The sequence below is a fragment of the Homo sapiens genome, chromosome 12, assembly GCF_000001405.40.
Source record: "Homo sapiens chromosome 12, GRCh38.p14 Primary Assembly".
NCBI classification, from domain to species: Eukaryota; Metazoa; Chordata; class Mammalia; order Primates; family Hominidae; genus Homo; species Homo sapiens.
This window is the reverse complement of record NC_000012.12, coordinates 132,999,856-133,027,210: the sequence shown is the minus strand read 5'-3', so window position 1 is coordinate 133,027,210 and position 27,355 is coordinate 132,999,856. Positions and strand designations below refer to the sequence as shown.

The following is a 27,355-nucleotide window of genomic DNA, read 5'->3' as shown; positions in this document are numbered from 1 at the left end:
TTCCTCTTTCTTTCCAGCCCATATACCTCTTAATCTTCATTCCTTGTCTTACCACATTGGTTAGGACTCCAGCTCAACGCCGGGAGAAATAATGAGAGAGCAGTGATCTCAGCGGTTCCTCATTTTAATTATACTGTTCGTAAGGTTCTGCTTGAAGTATGTTTGCTGAGGGGTTTATAATCGTAAAAAGGTGTTGCATTTTATTCTGAGTTTCTTAAGAATTTTATAACAAAGAATTGTTCCAATTTATTGAATATTTTTCTTAACCTATATAGGTATTTATGTTTCATATCACTCTATTTCTACATTATTTGGTTAAAATGATAAATATATAAACTTTAATATTGAATTATCTTTGACATATTTATTTATAAAGTTGAACTAGGCCAGATGCAATGGCTCATGCCTGTAATCCCAGCACTTTGGGAGGCCAAGGCGGGCAGATCACCTGAGGTCAGGAGTTCGAGACCAGCCTAGTCAACATGGTGAAACCCCACCTCTACTAAAAATACAAACATTATCCAGGCGTGGTGGCAGGTGCCCGTAATCTCAGCTACTTGGGAGGCTGAGGCATGATAATCACTTGAACCTTGGAGGCGGAGGTTGCCATGAGCTGAAATTATGCCACTGCACTCCAGCCTGGGTGACAGAACGAGACTCTGTATCAAAAAAAAAAAAAAAAAAAAAAAAAGTTGAACTATATGAAGTTGTCCTTTTTATGGGTTGGTCCAGTCACTCTTCTACATAACAGAACACCTCAAAATTTAGTGACTTATTATTTTAACTTGATTACCTAAAAAAAGAGACTTATTGGCCAGGCGCAGTGGCTTACGCCTGTAATCCCAGCACTTTGGGAGGCCGAGGCAGGTGGATCATGAGGTCAGGAGTTCAAGACCAGCCTGCCCAAGATGGTGAAACCCCATCTCTACTAAAAATACAAAAATTAGCCAAGTATGGTGGCGAGCACCTGTAATCCCAGCTACTTGGGAGGCTGAGGCAGAGAACTGCTTGAACCCAGTAGGAGGAGGCTGCAGTGAGCCAGGATCGTGCCACTGCACTCCAGCCTGGGAAAGAGTGAGAGTGCATCTCAAAAAAAAAAAAAAGTGACTTATTATATCTAATAGTTTCCTGGGTCAGAAATTCAAGATAGGCTCAGCTAGGCAGCTTTTTCTAAGGCTAGATCTAGAACAGAAGGGGCTGGAATGCCTGGGGGTGTTTTAGGCATCTCTCACTCTTGATGTAGTCTGTGTGTGAGCTAGTTTGGGCTTTCTTACTGCAGGGCAGCTCAGGGCCATTGGACTGCTTATATGGCTGCTGAATGGTTCAAGAGTGTGAATTCCAGTGACAAGATGGAAGCTGCATCACCTTTTATGACCTAGCTTTGGAAGTTACACAGCTTCATCTCTGCTGCATTCTTTTTTTTCTTTCTTAAATAGAAACGGGGTCTCACTGTGTTTCCCAGGCTGGTCTCAAACTCCTGGGCTCAAGCAATTTTCCTGCCTTGGCCTCCTGAAGCTCTGGGATTACAGGTATGAGCCACTGCACCTGGCCTATTTCTGCTGCATTCTGTTGGCTACAGGCAAATTACAAGTCCACCCAGGTTCAAGGAGCTGGTGTCGACCTCAACTCTCATGGGAGAAATATATAGCAGGCACACTGTGGAAGAGAATGTGTGATAGGAGATACTGTTTTGGCCATGTTTGGGATTACCACGGTCTGCCCTCTGGCTGTAACAATTCACATCCCCCCCATGCAAAGTACAGCCATCTCCTCCCCCAAGATCCCAATGTCTCATCCCGTTATAATATCAGATTGAAGACCAGGATCTCATCGTCAAACTCTGCTACAGGTGCAGATGGGACTCTTGAGGATGCAGTTCCTGAGGTGCTATTTCTCCCAATCTGAATGCCTGTGAAATATGAGACAAGTTATTTTCATCTTACACACCCAGAACGTAACAGTGGGGCAGACACAGAAAAACTGTTACCAATACTCCTATTCAAAAATGGGGACAAGAGGAGGCACAGAGTAGTCACTGTTCCATAGAAATCCATAAATCCTACTGGGTACCCATTACCAGTTCGGTGATTAGGGTTTGGTTCTGCTTTCTTGGACTTCTCCTCCATGGCTCTTTGCTCTACCCTCTGGATCTTAGTTCTGCTCTCTGAGTCATCCATGGTTTTTCATAAAATGTGACCATGTTTGCAAGTGAGTATCCTTCTCAACCTCCTTCCTGAGCAAAAAGGTTGAGAGTTCAAATATCTTTTTTTATACAGTTTGTCCTTATCTGTAAAGTTAGCATCACTGTTTTTAAGAACGTGTGGGATTTTTAGCTATCTGTGTACAACCCATTCCATTAGACAAAAGCCACACCCCAAAAATCTCTTAATAAGACTTTCTCTACTATGGGCTCTCAGTGGGCCTTTTGTGGGACCTCACCCTTAAAATTCTTAGCAGTTCTGTTGCTTATGAGAGAGGGCTCACAGAAGCATTCTCTCAAGTCCTTAGAAGTCCTTTTTGTTTATTCATTGAAGGGGGTCAGGAGGCACCGCTTCAGATCTTTCTGGAATCTTACATAAGGGTATTATAGCCAGCCTTGGATTACATCTTTTCCCTGAGGAGCTTTCGTACTTTGAGAATGCTTTACAAGCTGAAAAGACTGTTTACCATTTCCTCCATGGAATGGTTCATTTTTTAGTTCTCTTTCCTCTCATTTTATTATAAGCAATGAGGAGCCAGGTAGCATCCTGAACACTGGGTCTAGAAAACACTTAGCTCTATCACTGAGGTCATGAGGTACATCTTCTATTTTCCATTTACATTAGGTGACAGTGTTGATACACCTGTCACTACATAAAAAAGTCTCATTTTCTCCATGTTTCAATAATGCTTTCCTTGTGTTCCTTCAAGCTCTCACCAGCAACCTCCTTGATGACTTTTAGACTCTGCTAATACCATCCCCAAAGCCCACTGGGTTTTACTGATATTTTACTCAAGGGCCTTTCAGATTCTGCTCATCATCCAGTGCCAAGGCCAGTGATGCATGTAAGTAGAACCCCACTTCCAACACTAAATTTCTATTCCAATCACTACTGTAGTCTAACGTATCACCTCAAAACATTATAGCACAAATAGCAACAAAGACGTTATTATTTCTGATGGTTCCTGTTTGTCAGGGATTCAGGAGAGGTCTGACTGAGCCGTTCTGGGTCAGAATTTCTCATGGAGCCAGAAAGGCATGGAACGGGAGCATATGGGGCTGAACAAGCATCTCTTTATGTAATCTCAGAGCCTCTCTATGTGGTTTCTCTATATGGATTATTTGAGATTTCCTCCTAGTACTGCAGCTTCAAGGACTGCTTACATGGCAAATGAAGGATCTCTGCAATCAAGGCAGAAGCCGCATGGCTTTTTATATCCTGCGAAGTTACATGATCACTTCCTCCACATTCTTTTGGCTACAAGTGACTCACAAGCCAACAAAACTCAAAGGATGGGGCAAGACTATAAGTGGGAGGAGTGGCAAGATCACACTGTAGAAGAGGAGATGAGATGGAAGCTACTGTCATAGCCCACTTCAGAAAATAAAATCTGCCACATATGTAAAACATGGTTGATTATTGTAATTTCCTATGGTTCAACCTCATATACAAATGTATGGCGAAAGAGACCTGGATTTCATTTACTCAGAAAATTTTCATATATTAGATTGACCTGTATTTATTTTTTCTTCTACTGTCTCTATCCTGATTTGGTGTAAAGGTTATAAAAGAATTTCTAGGTGAATTTGGAAGTAATCTATATTTTAAAAATTCTCTAATACTGCTTACATAATGATAATCAAGTCCTTAATGTTTGCTAAAATTTTATTGGACATCCATCTGGGCTTTGCTATATTTCACTGAGGGAAGCTTTTGATACTCCAATTCAATTTTGTTATTTATTGTTGATTTTATTCAGTCTTGCTTTTTCTGCTTTGGTCAGTTTTGATAATGTGCAGTATTCTAGAAAACTGAAAAATGTGTTATCTATTTTTATTTGACTGGCGTATGGTTATCCTTAGTATTCTCCCATAATTTTTTAAAATCTAAACTGTTGTATAGCCCCTGTTCATCAAATACTAGTTACAAGTACATTCTCACGAATGCTCTTGAATCTTTCACCCAAACAGAAAATTAAAAATAACTTGAAGCCTCTACTTAGTGTTCCCTTTTTCCAACTCACTGCTTCTTCCACAGGGTGTAGACACTATCCTAAAGATTTTGATTATCATTTTCTAGCTTTTTTTCCCCGTTGTTTTGTCACATAAACACATATGCCTAAACAATATATAACTCCATTTTGCTTTATCTTGGCCTTTAACAAAGATGTTATACTACATACAGTATTTGGGGAATAACATTTATCACTATTAAATGTCTAGGACTTGAACATATTGATGATTCAATTTGTTCAAGCTTGTTCAATTTATTCAGTTTATTTCATAGTTGCATATTTTATCAACTGGATAATAGTCTCTTTATTCTTTTACATCTTTATCAGATTTATTTTGTTTTAATTAAATTTGTATTGAGATAGTTTCACCTAGAGTATACAAAATAATGCAGAGATCCCTTATACACTTTTCCCAGTTTCCCCCAATGCTAACATTTTGCAACACTACAGTATATCACAGCCAGAATACTGACACACAATACTTAACATTTCCCCAGTTTTACTTATACTTTGTATGTGTGTATATTAAGTTCTGTTCAATGTTATCACCAGTGTAGGTTCATGTATCAACAACCACCTTCAAGATGCTGAACAGTTCCAACACCATAAGATTTGTATCTATTTTGTATTTTGATGCCACTGAAAATTGATTCAATTTGTTAAATCCCATTTTATATTATTTTTCTGATATATAGAAATAAAATTGATTTGAATATACTGACATCCAATAATTTTGCAAAATTCAGTTTTTCTTTTTAATGACTTTAATTTTTTGTGTGTGACAGGGTCTCACTCTGTCACCCAGGCTGGAGTGCAGTGATGTGATCCCGGCTCACTGCAACCTCCACCTTTCGAGTTCAAGTGATACTCCCGTCTCAGCCTCCCGAGTAGCTGGAATTACAGGTGCACGTCACCACCCTGGCTAATTTTTGTATTTTTGGTAAACAGGGGCTATCACCATGTTGGCTAGACTGGTCTCAAACTCCTGACCTCAAGTGATCCGCCCACCTTGGCCTTCCAAAGTGCTGGGATTACAGGCGTGAGTCACCACACCTGGCCTCTTTTTAATGATTTGATTTAGAAATGACTCCACAAAACATGAAAGTTTAAAAAGTAATATAGAATTTACACAATGATAATGAATTTGTAAATATTCTTTACCAATATTCCTCAAATTTTTACCATGTTAGCTTTCTCTACAAATAAACGTTTTTCTTTCTTTCTTTTTTCTGAGACAGTTTCACTCTGTCACCCAGGCTGGAGTGCAGTGGTGTGATCCCGGCTCACTGCAACCTCTGCCTCCCGGGTTCAAGCAATTCTCCTGCCTCAGCCTCCCAAGTAGCTGGGATTACAGGTGCCTGCCACCACGCCTGGGTAATTTTTGTATTTTTAGTAGAGACGGGGGTTTCACCATGTTGGCCAGGTTGTTCTCAAACGCCCAACCTCAGGTGATCCACCCGCCTCGGCCTCCCAAAATGCTAGGATTACAGATGTGAGCCACCATGCCCGGCCAAATAAATGTTTTTCTTGAAATGTATAAGCATTGGCAGGGCACAGTGGCTCACGCCTGTAATCCCAGCACTTTGGGAGGCCGAGGTGGGTGGATCACCTGAGGTCAGGAGTTCAAGACCAGCCTGGCCAACATGGTGAAAACCTGTCTCTACTAAAAATATAAAAACTAGCTGGGCGTGGTGGTGGGCACCTGTAATCCCAGCTACTCAGGAGGCTGAGGCTGGAGAATCACTTGAACCCAGGAGGCTGAGGCTGGAGAATCACTTGAACCCGGGAGGCAGAGGTTGCAGTGAGCCGACACGGTGCCACTGCACTTCAACCTTGGTGACAGAGTGAGATTCCGTCTCAAAAAAAAAAAAAAAAAATGAAAAAGAAAAAAAAAATGTATGAGCATAGGTTGGAGGCATAATTTCTCGACATCCCTAAACACTTCAGTGTTGAGTAGTGTCCCCCCAACTCAAAGAGATATGTTGGGGTCCTAATTTCCATACCTCAGAGTGAGGCCTTATTTGGAGAGAGGGTCTGTACAGAGTTAACAATGTTAAAATGAGGACTTAGGAGTCAATATGACTGATGTCCCTATAAAAAGGGGACGTTTGCACAGAGATATGTGCATATAGAAGGGAGATTATGTGATGAGACAGTGAGAAGACAGCCATCTACAAGCCAAGGAGAGAGGCCTGGAACAGATCCTTCCCTCAGAGCCCTCAGAAGGAACCAAAACCTGTCAATGCCTTGATTTCAAACATGGAGGCTCCAGAACAGTAAGACAATATATCTGTGTTGTTTAAGCCATCCAGTTTGTGGTTCTTTGTTACGACAGTCCTAGACAACTTATACGATTGTTCTAATATTGAAAGTGGGATATTAAGTCTCCAACTAGTATTGTTGAGTTGTCTCTCTTCATTTCTGTCAGATTTTGCTTCATGTATTTTGGTGCTGTTATTAGGTACATACATGTTTATAATTATTATATCTTCTTTTTTGCCTTTTTTGAGGCAAAATATAAATATATAAACAAAATGTAAATATATTATAAATATTATCATCATTACCATTTTTAAGTGTACAGTTCAGCAATAATAGATACATTCATATTTTTCCCCTTCATCCTTCCCCCTCTTCCCAGCTTCTGGTAACCACCATCAACTCTATCTTCATGAGGTCTACTTTTTTAGCTTTCAAATATGAGTGAGAACATGCAATATTTGTCTTTCTGTGCTTGGCTTATTTCACTTATTATAATGGCTTTCAGTTCCATCCCAGTTGCTGCAAATGACAGGATTTTATTTTTATGACTGAATAGACATATTGACTGTGTTTATATATATCACACTTTCTTTATCCATTTGTTGATGGGCTCTGATTTTTTTTTTGTTTTGTTTTTTGAGATGGAGCTTTACTCTGTCGCCCAGGCTGGAGGGCAGCAGTTCAATCTCAACTCACTGCAACCTCCGCCTCCCGGGTTCAAGTGATTCTCCTGCCTCAGCCTCCCGAGTAGCTGGGACTACAGGTGTCTGCCACCACACCCCGCTAACTTTTGTATTTTTAGTAGAGACGGGGTTTCACCAGGCTGGTGAAGCTGGTCTTGAACTCTTGACCTCAAGTGATCCACCCACCTCAGCCTCCCAAAGTGCTGGGATTACAGGCGTGAGCCACCACGCCTGGCCTGATTTCATTTTTTGGCTCTTGTGGATAGTGCTGCAGGAAACGTGAGAGTGCAGGTGTCTCTTTGATGTACTGATTTCCTTTCTTTTGGCTTTTCACCCAGTAGTGGGGTTGCTGGATCGTATAATAGTTCTATTTTCAGTTGCTTTGAGGAGCCTCCATACTGTTCTCCATAGTGGCTGTACTAATTTCCACTCCCACCAACAGTGTACGAGGGCTGTCCTTCCTCCATATCCTCACCAGCATCTGTTCTTTCCTGTCTTTCTGATACAAGCCATTTTAACTGAAGAGGGATGATATCTGATTGTGGTTAATTTGCATTTCTCTGATAAGTGGTGATATTGAGCATTTTTTCATATACCTGTTAGACATTTGCATGTCTTCTCTGAGAAACGTCTGTTTGGATCTTTTGCCTACTTTATAATTGGAATATCTGGAGTTTGGGGTTTTTTTTTTGTTATTTTTCTTTGTTTTTGCTATAGAGTTGTTTGAGCTCCCTGTATATTCTGGCAATTAACCCCTTGTCAAATGGATAGTTTGCAAATATTTTCTCCCAATCTGTGGGTTGTCTCTTTATTTTGTTATTTCCTCGGCAGTATGGAAGCTTCCCAGCTTGATGTAATCCCAATTGTCTATTTATAATTGTTACATCTTCTTGATGACTTATCTTTACAAAATACTTTTCTTTATCTCTAGTAAAACTTTTGTTTTAAACTCTATTGTGTCTGATATTAGAAAGCCACTGGAGATTTATTATGGTTGCTGTTTGCGTTTTATATCTTTTTCCATCCTTTACTTCTAATCCAATTGTATCTTTGAGTATGTATGTATGTCTTCTGTACATGGTTGGATTTTTTTTTATCACCACTTTGACAATCTGTGTCTTTTGATAGTTTAATCTATTCACATTTAATGTTATTACTGGCCAGGTGCGCTGGCTCATGCCTATAATCTTGATGCTTCGAGAGACCAGAATGGGAGGATTGCTTGAGCCCTGGAGTTTGATACCTCCATCTCTATAAATAAATAAATAAAATAAAATAAAATAGCCAGGTGGGAGGTGGGAGAATTGCTTGAAGCCAAGAGTTCAAGGCTGCAGTGAGCTATGATCATGCAACTGCACTCCAGCCTGGGCAATAGAGCAAGACCCTCTTAAAAAAAAGTTATTATTGATATAGTTAGATTTACATATGCTGCTTTCCCTTTTGTATTTTATGTCTCATGTATCTTTTGTTCATCTATTTCTCCTTCACTTTTGTCTTAAGTGCATATTTTGTAATGTAATATTTTATTTATTTAATGATTCCTTACAATATTTTTGCAGTTATTTCTTTAGTGTTTGTTCTAGGAAGTGTTAAATACACATTAACTTATCAGAGTCTACTTCAGATTTATACTACCTTAATTCCAATAAGACTTTTATAAACCCATTATTCCTATATAGTTCTAGCCCCCACCCCGACTTTTGTGCTGGTATTGATATATATATCTATGTTACAAATGCAACAACACATTGCTATAAATATTGCTTTATATATTTTATAATTTAAAGAGGCTGAGAGATGAAGAGAAAGTATATATTAACAGCTTTTGTTACAGTAGCCTATTTATTTCCTATTTCTGGTTCTCTCAGCTTATTCTTGTGGCTTTAAGTTGCCATCTAGAGCCATTTCCTTACCCCAACACGACTCTTCTCCCATCCTCCTCCTTTGTGGTGTTATTGGTAGACATATTACACTTCTGTATGTTATAGTCCAAACAGTACTGCATATTGTTTTATATAATTGCTTTTTTTGTTGCTGTTATTGAGACGGAGTCTCACTCTGTTGCCCAGGCTGAAGTGCGGTGGCGTGATCTCGGCTCACTGCAACCTCTGCCTCCTGGGTTCAAGCCATTCTCCTGCCTCAGCCTCCCGAGTAGCTGGGACTACAGGCGCCCGCCACCACGCCCCGCTAATTTTTTGTGTTTTTAATAGAGATGGGGTTTCACCATGTTAGTGAGGATGGTCTTGACCTCCAGACCTTGTGATCCGCCCACCTCGGCCTCCCAAAGTGCTGGGATTACAGGCGTGAGCCACCACGCCTGGCCTATAATTATTAATCAGTTACTAATAAAATAAGAAATCTGCACTTGCACTATCTTTTATTATTACATAATTACCCTTTACTGGTGCTCTTTGTTTTTTCTGTGGAAACAAATTACTGCCTGGGGTCATTCCTCAGACTGTTGCTCTTCAGTCTCCAAACTGATCACTGGAAATGATGTTAAGTGGAGCTGATCCCGTTCCCACTCCTTGGCTCTTGGACCTGTGTACACTCCCTATTGAGGAATCACTACCAGATAAAAGTCTGTGATTCCAGGACTGCATCTTGGAGGACGGTGCCCTGTGCTTGTCAAGTACTGCCACTAAGCTGGTACTTCAAACCACCTTCAGCAGGTCATCCAATGCTCTGTCACACCAGCCGCTTCTAGGTGGTGGGGTAAGCATAAGGTGTGACCAATAGATCAGTCATGGGACCACCACTGAACCTTATCTGTGGTAAAGTGGGTCTCCTTGTCTAATGCCCTGCCATGTGGGATAATCAGAATCTCTACTCCCCTAAAAATTATTAGACTTCTTCCAATGTTACATACTGTTATTTTCTGGGGCTTATTTCCATATTTTTGTACCATCAAATTACATCTTATAATTTTTAAGTCTGTTTAGATTTGGCCGAGCATGACTTTTTATTTTTTTATGTTTCCAACTTTCTTGGTATTAAATATTTTGTTTAAAATGACATTATTTCACCCTGGTTTGTGAATAACCCTTCTAGGTAGATATTTTCTTTCAGAACATTGAAGACATTCTTTTACTGTCTTCTGATTTTTACTGTTGCTATTGAGAAGTCAACCTAAGCATGTAAAATTGGAAAAGGGCAACTCAATGATAAAATATCAGACTTTCAACTAATATTCCCATCCTTACAACCTCCAATGATGGTATCTCATAACATATTACAAATACCAAGAGAGTAGAATTTTTTTTTTTTTTTGAGTCAAGGTCTTGCTCTGTCACCCAGGCTGGAGTGCAGTGGTACAAATATGGCTTACTGCAGCTTCAACCTCCTGGGCTCAAGCAATCCTCCTGCCTCAGCCTCCAGAGTAGCTGGGACCACAGCCCTAAGCCACCATCCCGGGGTATTTTTTTTTTTTCAGAGATGGGGTTTTGCTTTGTTGTCCAGACTGGTCTCAAATTCCTGAGCTCAAGTGATCCTCCTGCCTCCCAAAGTGTTGGGATTATAGGCATAAGCCACTGCACCCAGCCAGAGTAGGGCTGATTTTAAATTTTAGACTTTGGCCCCAAAGTGAGCTGTTATTTTCCTTTTACTGTGATGCTCTTAAAATAGTTAAAAAAAAAAAAAAAAAGTAGCTAAATTGTTTTTAAAAATTAAGGATGCTCTGGCCGGGTACGATGGCTCATGCCTGTAATCCTAGCACTTTGGGAGGCCAAGGCGGGTGGATCACCTGAGGTCAGGAGTTTGAGACCATCCTGGCCAAAATGGTGAAACCCCATCTCTACTAAAAATACAAAAATTAGCCAGGTGTGGTGGCAGGTGCCTGTAATCCCAGCTACTCAGGAGGCTGAGGCAGGAGAATCACCTGAACCCCAGAGGCGGAAGTTGCAGTGAGCCGAGATCACGCCACTGCACTCCAGCATGGGTGACACAGTGAGACTCTGTCTCAAAAAAAAAAAAAAAAAAAAATTACCCCTACACTTTTTCACAATAAACCTTAGATCTTCAAGACACTCACAAAACCAAAAGCCACTTCCTTCTCTCAACACTTACCCCCAAGACAAATGAAGATATATGGAAATATATGGCATACCTAGTTCAGACTTCTATTAAAGAGTCACACAAACATTCCATCAATAAACATGCAGCATGAATTTCTAAATAAACGTCTGCTTGAAGCACTTTTATTTGCCAGTAGAAGTAATATTTCCAACTGTCTCAGGTCAAGAGTTCCTTTTGGCCTCCAGCCTGATCTCAGACTGGACTTTCCTCTTTGGGAACTCCTATGCCCTCTACTCAGAAGACTGTCCTCTTGGCTTCTTTTGGCTTTTCAGCAACATTGACATTTGTCTTCTGTATTATTATTATATAGTTTGTTTATTTATTTTTACTTTTTACAGATATGAGGTCTTGCCCTGTCATCCAGGCTGAAACACAATCATGGCTCACTGCATCCTCAACCTTCTGGGCTGAAGCGACACTCCTGCCTCAGCCTCCCAAGTAGCTGGGACCATAGGAAAGCATCTTATTTTTTTTCATTTTTTAGTTCTCTTTCTTATTCTTTTGCCACAAGTTGATAATTGAGGCCGATGCAAGTGAAGACATAGATACATGCCACAGTTAGGATTGTGTCATATACACAGAACATGTGTTTGTCATTTTCTTTTCTTTTTTTTTTTTTTTTTGAGACAGAGTCTCACTCTGTCACCCAGGCTGGAGTGCAATGGCGCAATCTCTGCTCACTGCCACCTCCACCTCCCGGGTTCCAGCGATTCTCCTGCCTCAGCCTCCCAAGTAGCTGGGATTACAGGCGCCCGCCACCATGCCCGACTAATTTTTGTATTTTTAGTTGAGACGGGATTTCACCATATTGGCCAGGCTGAACTCGAACTCCCGACCTTGTGATCCACCCACCTTGGCCTCCCAAAGTGCTGGGATTACAGGCGTGAGCCACCACGCCCGGCCAGTAGCTACTACTTTCAATAACACACTTTTATTGGGTCTTGGTGGAGGGAGAGGGCTGAGGGTCTTAGGAACACATAATGGATACAATCCAGCATGTCACAAAGCATTATCATTCTTTCTTCTAGATTATGGCAAAGTTCCTGACTTTTGTTCTTCCCCTTGCCATAAGCCAGTGTTGGATCTGGTCTTGCCTTAGCTGCTACAGCTAACTTTTAAAACCATCATCATGGTCAGGCATGGTGGCTCACGCCTGTAATCCCGGCACTTCGGGAGGCCGAGGCAGGTGGATTACCTGAGGTCAGGAATTCAAGACCAGCCTGGCCAACGTGGTGAAACCCCGTCTCTACTAAAAATACAAAAATTAGCCAGGCGCGGTGGCACACACCTGTAATCCCAGCTACTATGGAGGCTGAGGCAGGAGAATCGCTTGAACCCAGGAGGCGGAGGTTGCAGTGAGCCGAGATTGTGCAATTCACTCCAGCCTGGGTGACAGAACAAGACTCCGTCTCAAAAAAAAAAAAAAACAAAACAAAACAAAAAAAAAAACAGAAAGCAAAACCATCATCACTGCTGGGTGTCAGTGCACCAAGTATATGCTGTAAGTAATTGCCCTTCACTGAACACCCTCAAAGGATTTCACAAGTATCTACCCCCTCCCCCAACTTTTTTTTTGAGACAGGGTCTCACTGTTGCCCAGACTGGAGTACAGTGCAGCTCACTGCATCCTTGACCTCCTGGGCTCAAGTGATCCTCCTGCCTCAACCTCCTGAGTAGCTGGGATTGCAGGTGTGCACCGCTGTAACCAGCTTTTAAGAAACTTTTGTAGACAGGGTTTTGTCACGTTGCCCTGGGTGTTGTCATGCTGAGAAGTTTTGATACATTACTCATTCCTGCAATGCTCTATGAATTCTACATATTTTCCTAAATGAGCAATCCCATCCCAGGGCATGTTTAGTGTAGATTATTGTTACCAAACTGGTAAAAATAAGCCATGGGGAACTGGCAGAATAAGCTTCCTCCTGCAAGGCAAATTCCACATTTTCCCAGAAAAGGGAAGGGGTTCTATCTGTATCAGGAGGTGGCAGGTTTTTTATACCTCAACTACTCAACTGTGCCATGGCTGTGCAAAAGCAGTCAAATAATACACAAATATATTTAGCCATGTTCCAACAACAGTTATTTATGGACACTCAAGTTTGAATTTTATATATTGCCAACATCTACTCTATAGCCTTAAATGAAGCATCTGCAGTGCAAAGTCTATCAGAAGAGTTTGCTAGGCTGAGTCCTCAGGTTCTTCCCAGATACTCCTATTCAAAGTCTATCAGAAGAGTTTGCTAGGCTGAGTCCTCAGGTTCTTCCCAGACATTCCTATTCAAAGTCTATCAGAAGAGTTTGCTAGGCTGAGTCCTCAGGTTCTTCCCAGATACTCCTATTCAAAGTCTATCAGAAGAGTTTGCTAGGCTGAGTCCTCAGGTTCTTCCCAGACATTCCTATTCAAAGTCTATCAGAAGAGTTTGCTAGGCTGAGGCCTCAGGTTCTTCGCAGATACTGCTATTCAAAGTCTATCACAAGAGCTTGCTAGGCTGAGTCCTCAGGTTCTTCCCAGATATTCCTATTCAAATTATCAAGGGATAACTTTTTGAGGGGGGGAAGGGTGAGGATAACTTTTTCAACACATGTTTACATTAAGGGATTTAGTAAACATTTGAGGTGAACTGACTTTAATTCACCAAGCCAAATATACTATTTGATTCCCACCACCTCACTCCTACAGCTGTAAGAAACTTTTTCAGCAATGTCAAAGTTGCCAAGTCTGACACTCCACCCTGAGGTGAGATTTCAGGGCTTCAGGCCTGTCATTCTCATGGTCTAAGATCCAGCAAGATCAAAATCAGCCATCTCTGCCCCTGTCTCAGATTTTCTCATAAATTTAAAATTCTTATAATGCTATAATTCTTCAGTGTTTCCAAAATTTCAGTATCAGGCACTACAACGTTCCAGGTGTACAGAAACAATAACCATATTTCACATGATGGCTAAAAGTTGCTATCTTCAAATATAAACAAGAATGTGATTTTCTTGTCTCAGGAAAAACAAACAAACCTAAATCATATACCCCACTTTGTTAACTACATGCTACCAAGGCAACAACTGATCAGTTAAAGCCCTTAGGTTATAAGAAATAGAAAGCTGGCCGGGCTCGGTGGCTCACACCTGTAATCCCATGACTTTGGGAGGCTGAAGTGGGCAGATCACCTGAGGTCAGGAGTTCAAGACCAGCCTGGCCAACATGGTGAAACCCCGTCTATACTAAAAATACAAATATTAGCCAGGCATGTAATCCTAGCCACTTGGGAGGCTGAGGCAAGGAAATTGCTTGAACCCAGGAGGTGGAAGTTGCAGTGAGCTGAGATCATGCCATTGCATTCCAGCCTGGAGGACAAGAGTGAAACTTAGTCTCAAAAAAAAAAAAAAAAAAAAAAAAAAAAAAACCCAAACAACAAAAAGCAAAAGACATTTTTATTGAGAAGTGAGGAAACACACAGATCAGAGAAGCAGGTTCTAAAGGGATCGTATCCACAGTTATTCTTGTAATCAATTAGCCAGAATGAATGGATGTTCTCAACAGAATTCTGGGACAAGAATGAATGAGTTCCCACATTTTCTGGTTCATGTACAAATGAATTACAGACTCAAAATTCTGAAAAAGAGATTACCATTATCCAACAATGGGTAAAATGCTCACCTGTAGCTAGTGGAACGGATACCTGAAAGACACTACCACAGGAAGCACCCCAGAGAGGGGAGGTATTTCTCCAGAGAAAACAGGGGTGCTCATGTCAATCAATGGACAACAGGCATGGAACTGCAAAATATAATAAACGTTCATTATAATGAGTTCTCTTAAGCGGCAGCCCTGTAATAAATGCCAGATCTGCTTATGAAAAAGAAATCAAAAGATAATTAGCATTTAATATGGAAAATACTGGGGGATATTATTCCACAAACTATCAAATATATATATAGATAGATAGAACAAGTTACATTAAAAAATAAAGTACAAAAAATTTTAGAAATACTATTCAGTGTTAACTCAGGAAAGTCACATTAAATATCCATTAACTTTAAGACTCTGTTCCCTGCGTTTTTCCTGAACATTATTTACATATTTTTAAAAAAACAACTTTATACTCCACCATGAAGTCAACTGTTCATACCAAGATTTTATTTTACAAAAACACAGCTTCAAATCTGGAATGTGACTTTCCATGGAACACACTTTCAATGGGAAAATGCTTCCTTAATTTATTCAACTTATAAGGTGTTCCTAGTGTAAATTCTCTGAATCTTCATGATGATACTACAACATTTGATACATTTATTGCTCCACATTCCTTCCATTATTTTCATCTACAAAGATTTGTAACTTATTTCTGAAAGCTTTTACACTCATCCCAAATATGGTTGGTCTCTCTCCTCTCTGATTTTTGACATGAGTGTAATTTTAGGGCCTCCTGCTTGTAAATCCTGTCTATATTATCCGAAGTCTCCTGAACATCAGTTTCTCACATTGCATCATTCTGATTTCTCATTTATGAGTCTTCCGATGTATACGAAGCCCTGAATTCCAACAGAAGGATTTCCCACATTCAGAGCATTTCCATGGTTTCTCTCCGGTGTGAACTCTCTGATGTTCACTGAGAGATGACTTCTGAGTGAAGGCTTTTCCACATTCACTGCATTTAAAAGGTTTCTCTCCCGAATGAGTTTTCTGGTGTATCTGAAGTGATGCCTTCCTAGGGTAGGCTTTTTCACATTCATTGCATTCATAGGGCTTCTCAGTTGAATGAGTTCTCTGATGTATAATCAGCTGTGATTTTCCACAAAAGGCTCTCTCACACAAACTACATTCATAGGGTCTCTCTCCGGTGTGTGTTCTCCTATGTATAACAAGGTATGACTTGCTGCTGAAAGCCTTCCCACATTCACTGCATCCATAGGGCTTCTCTCCTGCATGAGCTCTCAGATGTGCAGTGAGCTGTTCCTTCCTACCAAAGGCTTTCCCACATTCACCGCATTGATAAGGATTATTTCCTGTGTGAACTCCCTGATGTACAATGAGTTGTGTCTTCATATTGAAGGCTTTCCCACAATCACTGCATTGATAGGGTTTTTCTCCTGTATGCATTCGGATGTGAACAAGGAGATAGGACTTACTCCTAAAGGCTTTCCCACATTCACTGCATTTATGGGGTTTCACTCCTGTATGAGTTCTCTGGTGTACAACGAATGGAGACTTCAAACTAAAGGCTTTCCCACATTCGCTGCATTCATACGGTTTCACTCCTGTGTGACTTCTCTGGTGTAAAAGAAGCTGTGATTTCCAACTGTAGGCTTTCCCACATTCACTGCAGCCATAGGGTTTCCCTCCTGTGTGAATTTCCTGATGGACAATGAGCTGTGACCTGAAAGAGAAGACCTTCTCGCACTCACTACATGAGTAGGGTTTTTCTCCTGTATGAACTCTCTGATGAGCATTAAGGTTTGACTTGGCACTGAAGGCTCTTTCACATTTACTGCATTCATAAGGTCTCTCTCCTGTATGAATTCTGAGATGTACAATGAGCTGTGACTTACAACGAAAAGCTTTCCCACATTCACTACACACACAGTTTTTTTCTATGCTATGAGCTCTTTGATGCTTAAGAAAATATGGTTCTTCATAACCATGAAACTTATCAGGATTCTTTCTTAAATAACTTCTGCTTGGAGCTGAGTTTTGTGTCAAACTTTTTCCACGTGTGTTATAGAGTCTCTGTCTTGAAGAATCATGGGTTTTGCTCAGATTAAGTCTTCCCAACACACTACAAGCATAGCTTCTTTCAATACTCTCAAGCTCATCTTGATTGTTCTGGTACCATTCTTCCCAGCCATCTACAAAAAAACAAACAAAATATAACTTTTTGAATCATAACATAAACCTGATATGGAATTAAACAGTATTAGGACTGTGATGTAATCAACCTTTCTCTTTTGGTAACAAGCCTACCACACTGGTTCAAAAGAAATACTGGCCAAGCATGGGGGCAAGGGAACTGAATCAAAACAAACCAAAACAGGTCCCGTCGTGAAAACTGGTAGCAAATTACCAGTAATCAAAAATACTTTTTAAAATAGAGGTTTAAAATTGGCACTTGGATTAGCCAGGCATGGTGGCGGGCACCTGTAATCCCAGCTACTAGGGAAGCTGAGGCAGAAGAATCGCTTGAACCTGGGAGGCGGAGGTTGCAGTGAGCCGAGATCACGCCACTACACCAAGTACAAAGTTCCTGAGGAAGAAGCCTGACTGACAGGGTTTAAGAAATAGAAAAAGGCCAGGAAAGCTAAAACCCACTGAGTGAATGGAATGAAAGCAGAACCAAATTATTCAAATCCATGGCAAAAAGTTGTTCATATTTTTAAGATTTTTTTTTTTTTTGAGACAGGGTCTTGCTCTTTCACTCAGGCTGGAGTGCAGTGGCGCAATCTTGGCTTACTGCAGCCTCGACCTCCTGGGTTCAAGTAATCCTCCCATGTCAGATTCCTGAGTAGCTGGGACTACAGGCACATGCCATCATGCCCAGCTAATTTTTGTATTTTTAGTAGAGATGGGGTTTCACTTGTTGGCCAGGCTGGTCTCAAACTCCTGAGCTCAAGCGATCCGCCCGCCTTGGCCTCCCACAGTACTGGGATTACAGGTGTGAGCCACTGTGCCCAGCCTAAAGGTTTTAATTACAGAAAATCTCAATCTTCTGCATTTAAAAGATCAGTTTGACTGTTCTGTAAAAAGTAAGAAAAGGACAGAGAAATACTTTAGGAAGCTATTGTAGCAGTCCAGAATGAGATAATAATTTGAACTACAGTTCTTGATATACTTTGGGTATCTGTCCCCACCCAAGTCTCATGTTGAATTAGAATCTCTAGTGCTGGAGGTGGGGCCTGGTGGGAGGTGCCTGCATCTGGATTATGGGGGCAGATCCCTCATGGCTTGGTGCAGTCTTCACGATAGTGAGTTCTTGTGAGATCTGGTCATTTGATAGTATGTGGCACATTCCCCGCCCCGCCTTACTCCTGCTTTCACCATGTGATGTGCTTGCTCCCCCTTTGCCTTCCACTATGACCGGAGCTACCTGAGACCTCCCTAGAAGCAAAGGCTGCCATGCTTCCCATACAGCCTGCAGAACTCTGAGCCAATTAAACCTCTTTTCTTATAAATTTAGTCTCAGGTGTTTTTCTTTTTTTTTTTTTTTTTTTTGAGATGGAGTCTCGCTCTGTTGCCCAGGCTGGAGTGCAGTGGCACGATCTCGGCTCACTGCAAGCTCCGCCTCCTGGGTTCACACCATTCTCCTGCCTCAGCCTCCTGAGTAGCTGGGACTACAGGCGCCCGCCACCACACCCCGCTAATTTTTTGTATTTTTAGTAGAGACGGGGTTTCACCATGTTAGTCAGGATGGTCTCCATCTCCTGGCCTTGTGATCCACCCGCCTCGGCCTCCCAAAGTGCTGGGATTACAGGCATGAGCCACCGTGCCCAGCCAGTCTCAGGTATTTCTTTATAGCAATGAAAGAATGGCCTAACACATGTCTGGAGTTGAGGAAATTTGGAACATACGGGAGAGAGAACTAAGATGGTTTGCTAAGGGACTAGATGTGGGAGCAGAGAAGGGGAGGAGTCAACAGCTTGAACGGCAAGATGGCACTGCTCCTTAGAGATGGAAACACTAAGAAAGAAACTTGTGAAAGAAAATGAAGGACTCTGGCCATTTCTTTTGAGGAAGAACGGTAATTTTAGAAGGAAATCCCCATTTCTGATACTGAGAGTAAAGTCTGGGAAAGCGTGGGGTAGCGCTCCCACAGGCAGGTAAAACCCAGGACTCAAGTGCCAAAGAGAAAGACGTCAATTTTGATGTTACAACACTGGGGGGAAAGCGTAAACCTTCGGAACGGAAGAGCCTTTCGACAGTTACAACATTCGGAGAGGAGAGCCAAACTGGGAAAAAATACCCCTCTGGACAACGCAAAAGGGAAGTATAAGGTGTGTAAAGTCACTCAAAGATATAGGAGACACCAGGGCCAAGACTGTGAGTCAAGTCTAGGGGATTTAACTGTGGAAGGCAAAGGAGGAAATAAAAGAAATGGAAATAGAGGGCAATGAGCCACATCAAGTGAGGGGAAAAAGAAATCCTCTAAAGGTCTCGATGCCCAATAAAACCCATGACCATGGGGAGGACGGAAACTTACCCAAAAGCAAACCTGAAGCAGAGTTCAGGAAAGAGGGGCATGCCTGCCTCTCAACAGTAAGGGGGAAGAAAAACCCAAATATATGAAGAGTGACGGCGATGTCCTTATCTGAGGAGCTCCTGGCTTCATCCTGAGTCAGCTCCAATAGCTCAAGGACTTCCAGAAGCATTTCTGAAGACAACACTGTGAGTGCCCACTCCTCAGGTACTCATCAGCTCACTCCCATGCCTCCCACCTTCCTCTTTCTCACTCACCCACCTGGACAGCTCTGCCTGGAAATTTTGGCATTTATTATCCATGGATCTTCTCCTTGTTCCAACTTGAAGATTAAGTCAGGCTTGGTACCATGATACCCTGTTGATGGGAAATCACAAAGGGTGGGGACCAGGCTGTTAGGGACAGGACCGAGGAATCAAGAGCTACAGAGCAAAACTGCTCATCTCACTTGGGGAAAGATTACAATTAGGAAGTGTGGGACAAACAGGGACTAAGGAAATTTGACCCCTAAAGTTCAAGTTCATAATCATTAAGCACTTCAGAGATCCCGGAGTAGTTCAACAACAAAAAAAGGGATGGCAATTTAATATTCACTATCTGAGTAACATTGAGACGCAGTACTTACCCACTGATATCAGGTTATGATAGTTTTCCAATATCACATCTCTGTACAGGTACTTCTGTGTAGAATCCAGTAGCTGCCATTCATCCCAGGTGAACTCCATAGATATATCCTTGAATGACAATAATCCCTGAAATAACACACACCCTGTTCAATTGGATGCAATTACATTAGGTGACATGGAAAAGATGCAGAGGAACTGGGAAGGGATAAATGTTCCTCTACCAACTATTTCCTGTGGCTGGTTCAGCATTTACTTTGTGAGAGAATTAAAAATCAATCAAGGAGTGCCAGGCACGGTGGCTCACGCCAGCACTTTCGGAGGCCAAGGCGGGTGGATCACAAGGGCAGGAGTTCAAGACCAGCCTGACCAAGATGGTGAAACCCTGTCTCTACTAAAAATACAAAAATTAGCTGGGCGCAGTGGCAGGCACTTGTAATCCTAGCTACTCAGGTGGCTGAGGCAGGAGAATCACTTGAACCCAGGCAGCAGAGGTTGCAGCAAGCCAAAATCGTGCCACTGCACTCCAGCCTCGGCGACAGAGTGAGACTCCATCTAAAAAAAAAAAAAAGAAAGAAAGAAAAAATCAATCAAGGAGCTTCTATTTGCCGGTACTCTCTTGGGTCCTGAAGATTTCAGGATGAATAAAATCCAGTTCTGTCTTCAAGAAACTTTCTATCTTGTAGATGGGAATGAACATTTATACATGCAAACAAAATAAGGTGTTCTGAGTCCTTGGTAAAAACATCCAGGGTACATTTTGTACAGAAATGAAGAGAGCCACTCAAGTAGTCTTAGAAGATTCATGATGTGTTCAAGAAGTTGGGGTAGAAAGGGCAATTCAGGAGGTGTTTGGACGAGGTTCAGCTGAGAACAGGGGGATAAACAAGAGAGTTTATCCTTCTACTTGCAGGAGTCTGAAGGCAATTGGTCTGGGGCTTCCATCTCTTGCTCCACCTTACATGGCTTCCACTTCCAGGGCAACCCAGTCTAAGATGGCTCTAGTCATCACATCTGCATTCTAAGCAACAGCAAAGAGTGGGGGCTGGGAGGGAACAGCAGGGAAATTCAGAAATGGAGTTTCTGTATATGCCCAACTGAAAAACTGGCAAATCTATTATGAAAGAAAGAAAAAAAAATAGATGGAACATAATTTGCAGTCCCTGTACCAGAAGCAAGCATCACACAGAACACATGGTAGAGCCTGGTCAATTCAAGGAACAACAAATATTTCAGACACCGAAAAGACTGCTGTCTTTGTTTTCTATTTTTATAACAGAATACCAGAAACTGGGTAATTTATAAAGAAAAATGTTCATTTAGCTCAAGGTTCTGGAGGCCAGGAAGTCCATAAGCATGGTGCTGGCATCTGGTGAGGGCCTTCTTGCTATGTCATAACTTGGTGGAAGGCAATACATGATGAGAGACAGACAGCATGCCAGCTCAGGTCTCTCTTCCTATCCTTTTAAGGCTACTAATCCCATCATAGGGGCCCTGCCCTGATGACTTTATCAAATCCTAAATACCTCCCAAAGGTCCCACCTCCAAATACCATCAACAAATAAATTTAGGAATTAAATTTCCAACACATGAAATTTGGAAGATACACTCAAACCACAGCGATGGCTACAACAGGTGAACAGGTAAGAGCTAGACTACAAAATAAACCTGGCCGGGTGTGGTGGCTCATGCCTGTAATCCCAGCACTCTGGGAGGCCGAGGGAAGCGGATCACAAGGTCAGGAGTTCAAGACCAGCCTGACCAACACGGTGAAACCCCGTCTCTACTAAAAATACAAAAATTAGCCAGGCGTGGGGGTGGGCACCTGCAATCCTAGCTACTCAGAAGGCTGAGGCAGGAGAATCGCTGGAACCAGAGAGGCAGAAGTTGCAGTGAGCCAAGATCGCATCACTGCACTCCAGCCTGAGCGACAGAGCAAGACTCCGTCTCAAAAAAATAAATAAATAAATAAACCTGGAATGATTTTCCTGGTTTATAGAAGAATTACCAATGTAGGTTTATATAAATAAGAGAAATAATAGGGCAATGTTCAAAGAAATGCGGCCTGAAAATTCTCTTGGAGTGAAGACAAATACAGGAGTTCACATGAGAAAAACCTACCAATTGAAATACAAGATAAGTTAACAAACAAAAAAAAGGTCCAAATTTAAGCAGATGGTAATGAAATGTCTGAAAATAAAGTATAAAGAGAACACCTGATAACCAACTAAAAGGAAAGAACAATGCTTCTTGAAAGTGGGAGAGAAATAAAGTACTGAGAAAAAATAATGCTGATTCTGAAATCTTATACCAGCCAAACTAAAAAGCAAAAATAAGGGAAAATAAAAGACATTTTCAAATATACTAGCACCTGGAAAATTTATATCCATCAAATGTGGTACCTCATGCCTATAATCCCAGCATTTGGGAGGCTGAGGCGGGAGGATCACTTGAGGCCAAGAGTTTCAGACTATCCTGGGTCACATAGTTAGACCTCATCTCTACAAATAACAAAAAAATGTGTGGGCATAGTGGTGCACGCCTGTAGTCCCAGTTACTCAGGAGGCTGAGGTGGAAGGATGGTTTGAGCACAGGAGTTTGAGGCTGTAGTTGGCCATGACTATGCCACTGCACTTTACACTGGGCAACAGAACCAGACTCTGTCTCTAAAAAAAAAAAATTACACCCTATAGAGACAACATTAAGACACAGAAAGAATTGGTGGGAAGCTGGATACAACGGTGAGCACTGAAATCAGCAGAACATAAATCTATTGATTCAAACACATCTGAACTAAAATTATAATCAGCTACAATTTAAGCATGTGTGTGATGCAAATAGATGAGAATCATAAAAAATGAAGGTATAAAGAAACATCTTTCACTTGGGAAAAGAGAAAATGCAACTGTTTAGACTTTGTTTTAAAGGGAAACGTTCAGTGTGCCTGTGAACAACTTAAAGACAATCAAGCACTAAAAATGTAGGGAGGGAGCAGGGAGGAAGACAAGTACAGCTTCCCAAACAGTAGAGAAAAAACCGACTGAGAAAGAACACATTCATGTTAGAAGAAACATACTGAAAACAAAACTAAGACAGTTTGAAACTTATGAGATACACCAAAGAAAAAATACAAATTAGAAAATAAAGAAATGAAGAAAGATATCAGGTAAATGCTACATCAATGAAAGCTGATACTCACAGAATTAGCATAAATAATTGCATTTTTACATCAGTTTAACTCAAGGGACTTAAACTAAAGGCATTTCTTATTTATACATCCCAAGTAGCATGACGGTCTCACTACAGCCAACAGACTCCTCTTGCCCAGGCACCTCCACGTGGTTCACCATCCCTCCTGGCTCATCAATACTCGGGCATTATTCTTCTATGCTAGATGGCTTTTCTATAATATATAATTTCACAAATCAAAACACCTACAAAGTTGTAAGATTTATGCCCATTAGGGAGGTTGAGATGGAGACTAAACATGATTTGAAAGTAGGAACAGAGAGAATGGAGAGAAGATTTAAACATGATTATCAGTATCCTCCTCTGAGACCCATTTAAATTACATACAGGAATACAGTACACACAAACACACCTCTAAAAGAAAAGGGAGGCCAGGGGCGGTGGCTCATGCCTGTAATCCCAGCACTTTGGGAGGCCGAGGCGGCGGATCACAAGGTCACGAGATCGAGACCATCCTGGCTAACACGGTGAAACCCCGTCTCTACTAAAAATGCAAAAAATTAGCCAGGCGTGGTGGCGGGTGCCTGTAGTCCCAGCTACTCGGGAGGCTGAGGCAGGAGAATGGCGTTAACCCAGGAGGCAGAGCTTGCAGTGTGCCGAGATTGCGCCACTGCACTCCAGCTGGGCAACAGAGCGAGACTCCATCTCAAAAAAAAAAAAAAAAGAAAAGGGAACTACATAAACAGAAGCCAATATGATATTTTGATAAATTTTTAATAAACAGTAAGCCAAAAATCTGGTAACTGACTTCCGTGAGCAAAAGCTCTCCCAGAGGTAAGCTGATGCACAGCAAACCATCTCTCCCACAGAAGCCCCAAAAGCTTTGGGAACAGTCATCCTGCATGATGAGAATGAGGTGTGAACTGTAAACAGCTAAAAGCAGTATATGAATTAGGCTCCCAGGTCCCACCCACCTAGGGTCTCCAGGGTGGGTGTTACTCAGCCAACACATGACTACCTAACATGCCAGGGGTGCTAGGTACTCTTAACAAAATCCAGGCTGGGCATGGTGATTCACACCTGTAATCCCAGCACTTTGGGAGGCCAAGGCGGGTGGATCACCTGAGGTCAGGAGTTCGAGACCAGCCTGGCCAATATGGTGAGACTCTGTCTCTATTAAAAACACAAAAATTAGCCAGGCATGCTGGTGTACACCTGCAACCCCAGCTACTCAGGAGGCTGAGACAGGAGAATCGCTTGAACCCATGAGGTGGAGGTTGCAGTGAGTAGAAATCGCACCACTGCACTCCAGCCTGGGCGACACAGAAGACTACATCTCAAAACAAAAAAACAAAAAACAAACAAAAAATCCAAGCAGGTAAGGGACAGAGTCATGAGACAGAGGGAGGCACAGGTGCTGTTTCAGACACGGTGATCAGGGCAGCTCTCTGATGAGGTTATACCTAGGCAGAAATGCAAGCGCTGTGAGAAGCCACTGAAAGGCTTCTCGCTCTGACTGGTATTTTGAGATCATCCTGACTGCTGTGGAAGAGGGAGGGGGTTGTGTAAGAGGAGATACCGGGGAGACCAGTTAGAAGGCAACTGTGTTAGTCCAGTGGAAGAAGGCAGTGTAGGCCAAAGTGACAGCGATGGGGATGATAAATGGTGGCTGGATTCTGGGCATCCTGTGGGGACAGAGCCAGAACACAACCTGATAGAGACAGCATGGCACGCTGAGAGACAGAAGGGGGGCCAGGAGGACACCAAGCAGCCTGGCCAAGCAAACTACAGAACTTTCCCTTTAAGGAGGTGGAGAAGCCTGGGGATAACAAACGGAGAAAGAAGATAGTGAATAACTGGTCCATGAATGACGGAAGATGGGGGAGATCCAACCAGAAAACAGTCCACAGAAGTGAGTCACTGAAGGAGAAAAGTGACCTTGCTAAGAACACGTGAGAAGAAAGGGAAGCGGGTATCCATCCTCTCAAACAGGAGGGGCTCTAAGAAAAGGGGACTGTGCAAGTGCCCCACACACAACCTGGACATCTGCAACAGCCGACCAGGCTAAATCTGGGTAATTTTCAGAAGGAACTGACATGTACTTAAGAATTTAAGTAAACAAGGATCGAATAACTGCTTTCCTCTGAAAAATTCTGAAGGCAAAGACTGCCGCGGGACTCTCAAAAGGCAGCTGGGGAGTGAGGGTTCAGCAGCTCACCTCAAACAGGGCCCCGCCTCCCTGCGGCTCACCTCAGGCAGGGCACTGTTTCCCTGGGCCCAAGGAACACCCAGAAGATTCCCGAACTTGACACTTGAGCTCATTAGCAGGCTCCTCCTCAGCAGCACTACCTGCAGGGAGGGAGACCCCAGGGGAAGAGGCAGTGAGTGGACTTCTGGGTGAGTCTGCATGCAGTGAGAGAAAGAATCACATACACCATGGAACTGCAGGGCAGAGCCCTGTCAGAGGCTCCAACCAAGCCCCACTGATGCCTGTCATAACTCTGGGTACTGACCACCGCACAACAGGAGACTCTGTGTCTTTTTCTCTAACCACTGATTTTCCCACCCCAACCCAGAAGGAGCCCCCGTCGGAGGGCAACAAGTAAATGAAGTGGGAATACAGACAAGCCTCCTCCATCTCCCCTCTGCAGGCTAGAATGAGGGGAGGTACAAGAGCTTGGAGTGAGAGTGTGGACTGAACTTTCCCATACCTGAAAGTAACTGAGAGTCAATAACAAACAAGGCTGTGACCAGAGCATCATCAGCTCTCCTCACGACGAGCACTAGGGAAGGGCTGACAGGAAGCCTGAGGCTGTGATGAGAAAAATGAAGCCACTACTGTGCCCTTATTACGTTGAGGTGCTTATCAAGCTGGTTACTTTAAATCTGAGGGAGAAGAAACATGAAACAAGTCACTTCGATGTGACCATATTAGAAGCTGGAGGTCGACAGCAGAAGACGAAACGGAGCCCAAAGTGGCTGCTTCTGGGGACACAGGATGGAAGAGGGAAGGTGCACAGCAGATAGCAGGTAGACCAGGAGCAGCGGGTAGACCAGGAGGCTTATTGTCTATTTTATTTAAAGCCTTTTACTATTTCTTTAAGCTTGATACGAATGAAAACAGGCCAGGCATGGTAGTTCACGCCTGTAATCCCAGCACTTTGGGAGGCAGAGGTGGGTGGATCACCTGCAATCAGGAGTTCAAGACCAGCCTGGCCAACATAGTGAAACCCTATCCTACTAAAAATACAAAAATTAGGCCGGGCACAGTGGCTCACACCTGTAATCCTAGCACTTTGGGAGGCCAAGGTGGGCGGATCACGAGGTCAGGAGATCGAGACCATCCTGGCTAACATGGTGAAACCCTGTCTCTACAGAAAATACAAAAAATTAGCTGGGTGTGGTGGCGGGCGCCTGTAGTCCCAGCTACTCGGGAGGCTGAGGCAGGAGAATGGCGTGAACCCTGGAGGCGGAGCTTGCAGTGAGCCAAGATCGTGCCACTGCACTCCAGCCTGGGTGACAGAGCGAGATTCCATCTCAAAAAAAAAAAAAAAAAAAAAAAATTAGCCAGGTATGGCGGCGCATGCCTGTAGTCCCCACTACTCGGGAGGCTGAGGCAGGAGAATCGCTTGAACCCAGGAGGTGAAGGCTGCAGTGAGCGAGAACGTGCCACTACACTCCAGCCTGGGCAACAGAGCAAGACTCTAACTCAAAATAAATAAATAAATAAATAAAAGAATAAAAGTAAAATACAAAATAACTGTTAAAATTTTGAATTGACCTAGCATGATCAAAAGAAAATTTAAAAAGAAAATTTTATGACCAAGAAGCAGTCCAAAACTCTTAAGAGATTTAAAATTTCACAAGAGATTATGATAAACAGTTCTACTGTAATGGGACATATATGCTGCAAAAAATCACACCATGCAAAGTTGCATAAAAAGCCATAGGATTTATGAGAAAAATGAGGTAAAGGCATAATACTGGTGACACACAAAAAGAGAACCTAGGAGGCCAGGTGCAGTGGCTCACACCTGTAATCCCAGCACTTTCAGAGGCTGAGGTGGGCAGATCATTTGAGGTCAGGAGTTTGAGACCAGCCTGACCAACATGGTGAAACCCTGTC

General features: G+C 42.4%; 1 protein-coding gene across 9 annotated transcripts in view; it reads right to left on the bottom strand.

Annotated features, from left to right (window-relative positions):
• Positions 1-108: 108 nt before the first annotated feature.
• Positions 109-27,355, bottom strand: part of ZNF26 (zinc finger protein 26) — a 40,736-nt gene continuing 13,489 nt past the window's right edge. For 2 of the 9 annotated variants that reach the window (NM_001330514.2, NM_019591.4), the window contains 3 exons: positions 20,043-20,169; positions 19,679-19,774; positions 109-17,075 (listed from right to left, as the gene is read on the bottom strand). In NM_001330514.2, the coding sequence (NP_001317443.1) occupies positions 15,730-17,075; positions 19,679-19,774; positions 20,043-20,142 (1,542 nt within the window). In that variant the 5' untranslated portion in view covers positions 20,143-20,169 and the 3' untranslated portion in view covers positions 109-15,729. Of the gene's footprint in view, positions 17,076-19,678; positions 19,775-20,042; positions 20,170-20,951; positions 21,155-25,479; positions 26,425-27,355 lie in introns of those variants that run through there. The other 7 variants (XR_007063123.1, XM_047429503.1, XR_007063124.1 and 4 more) reach the window with 7 other exon arrangements.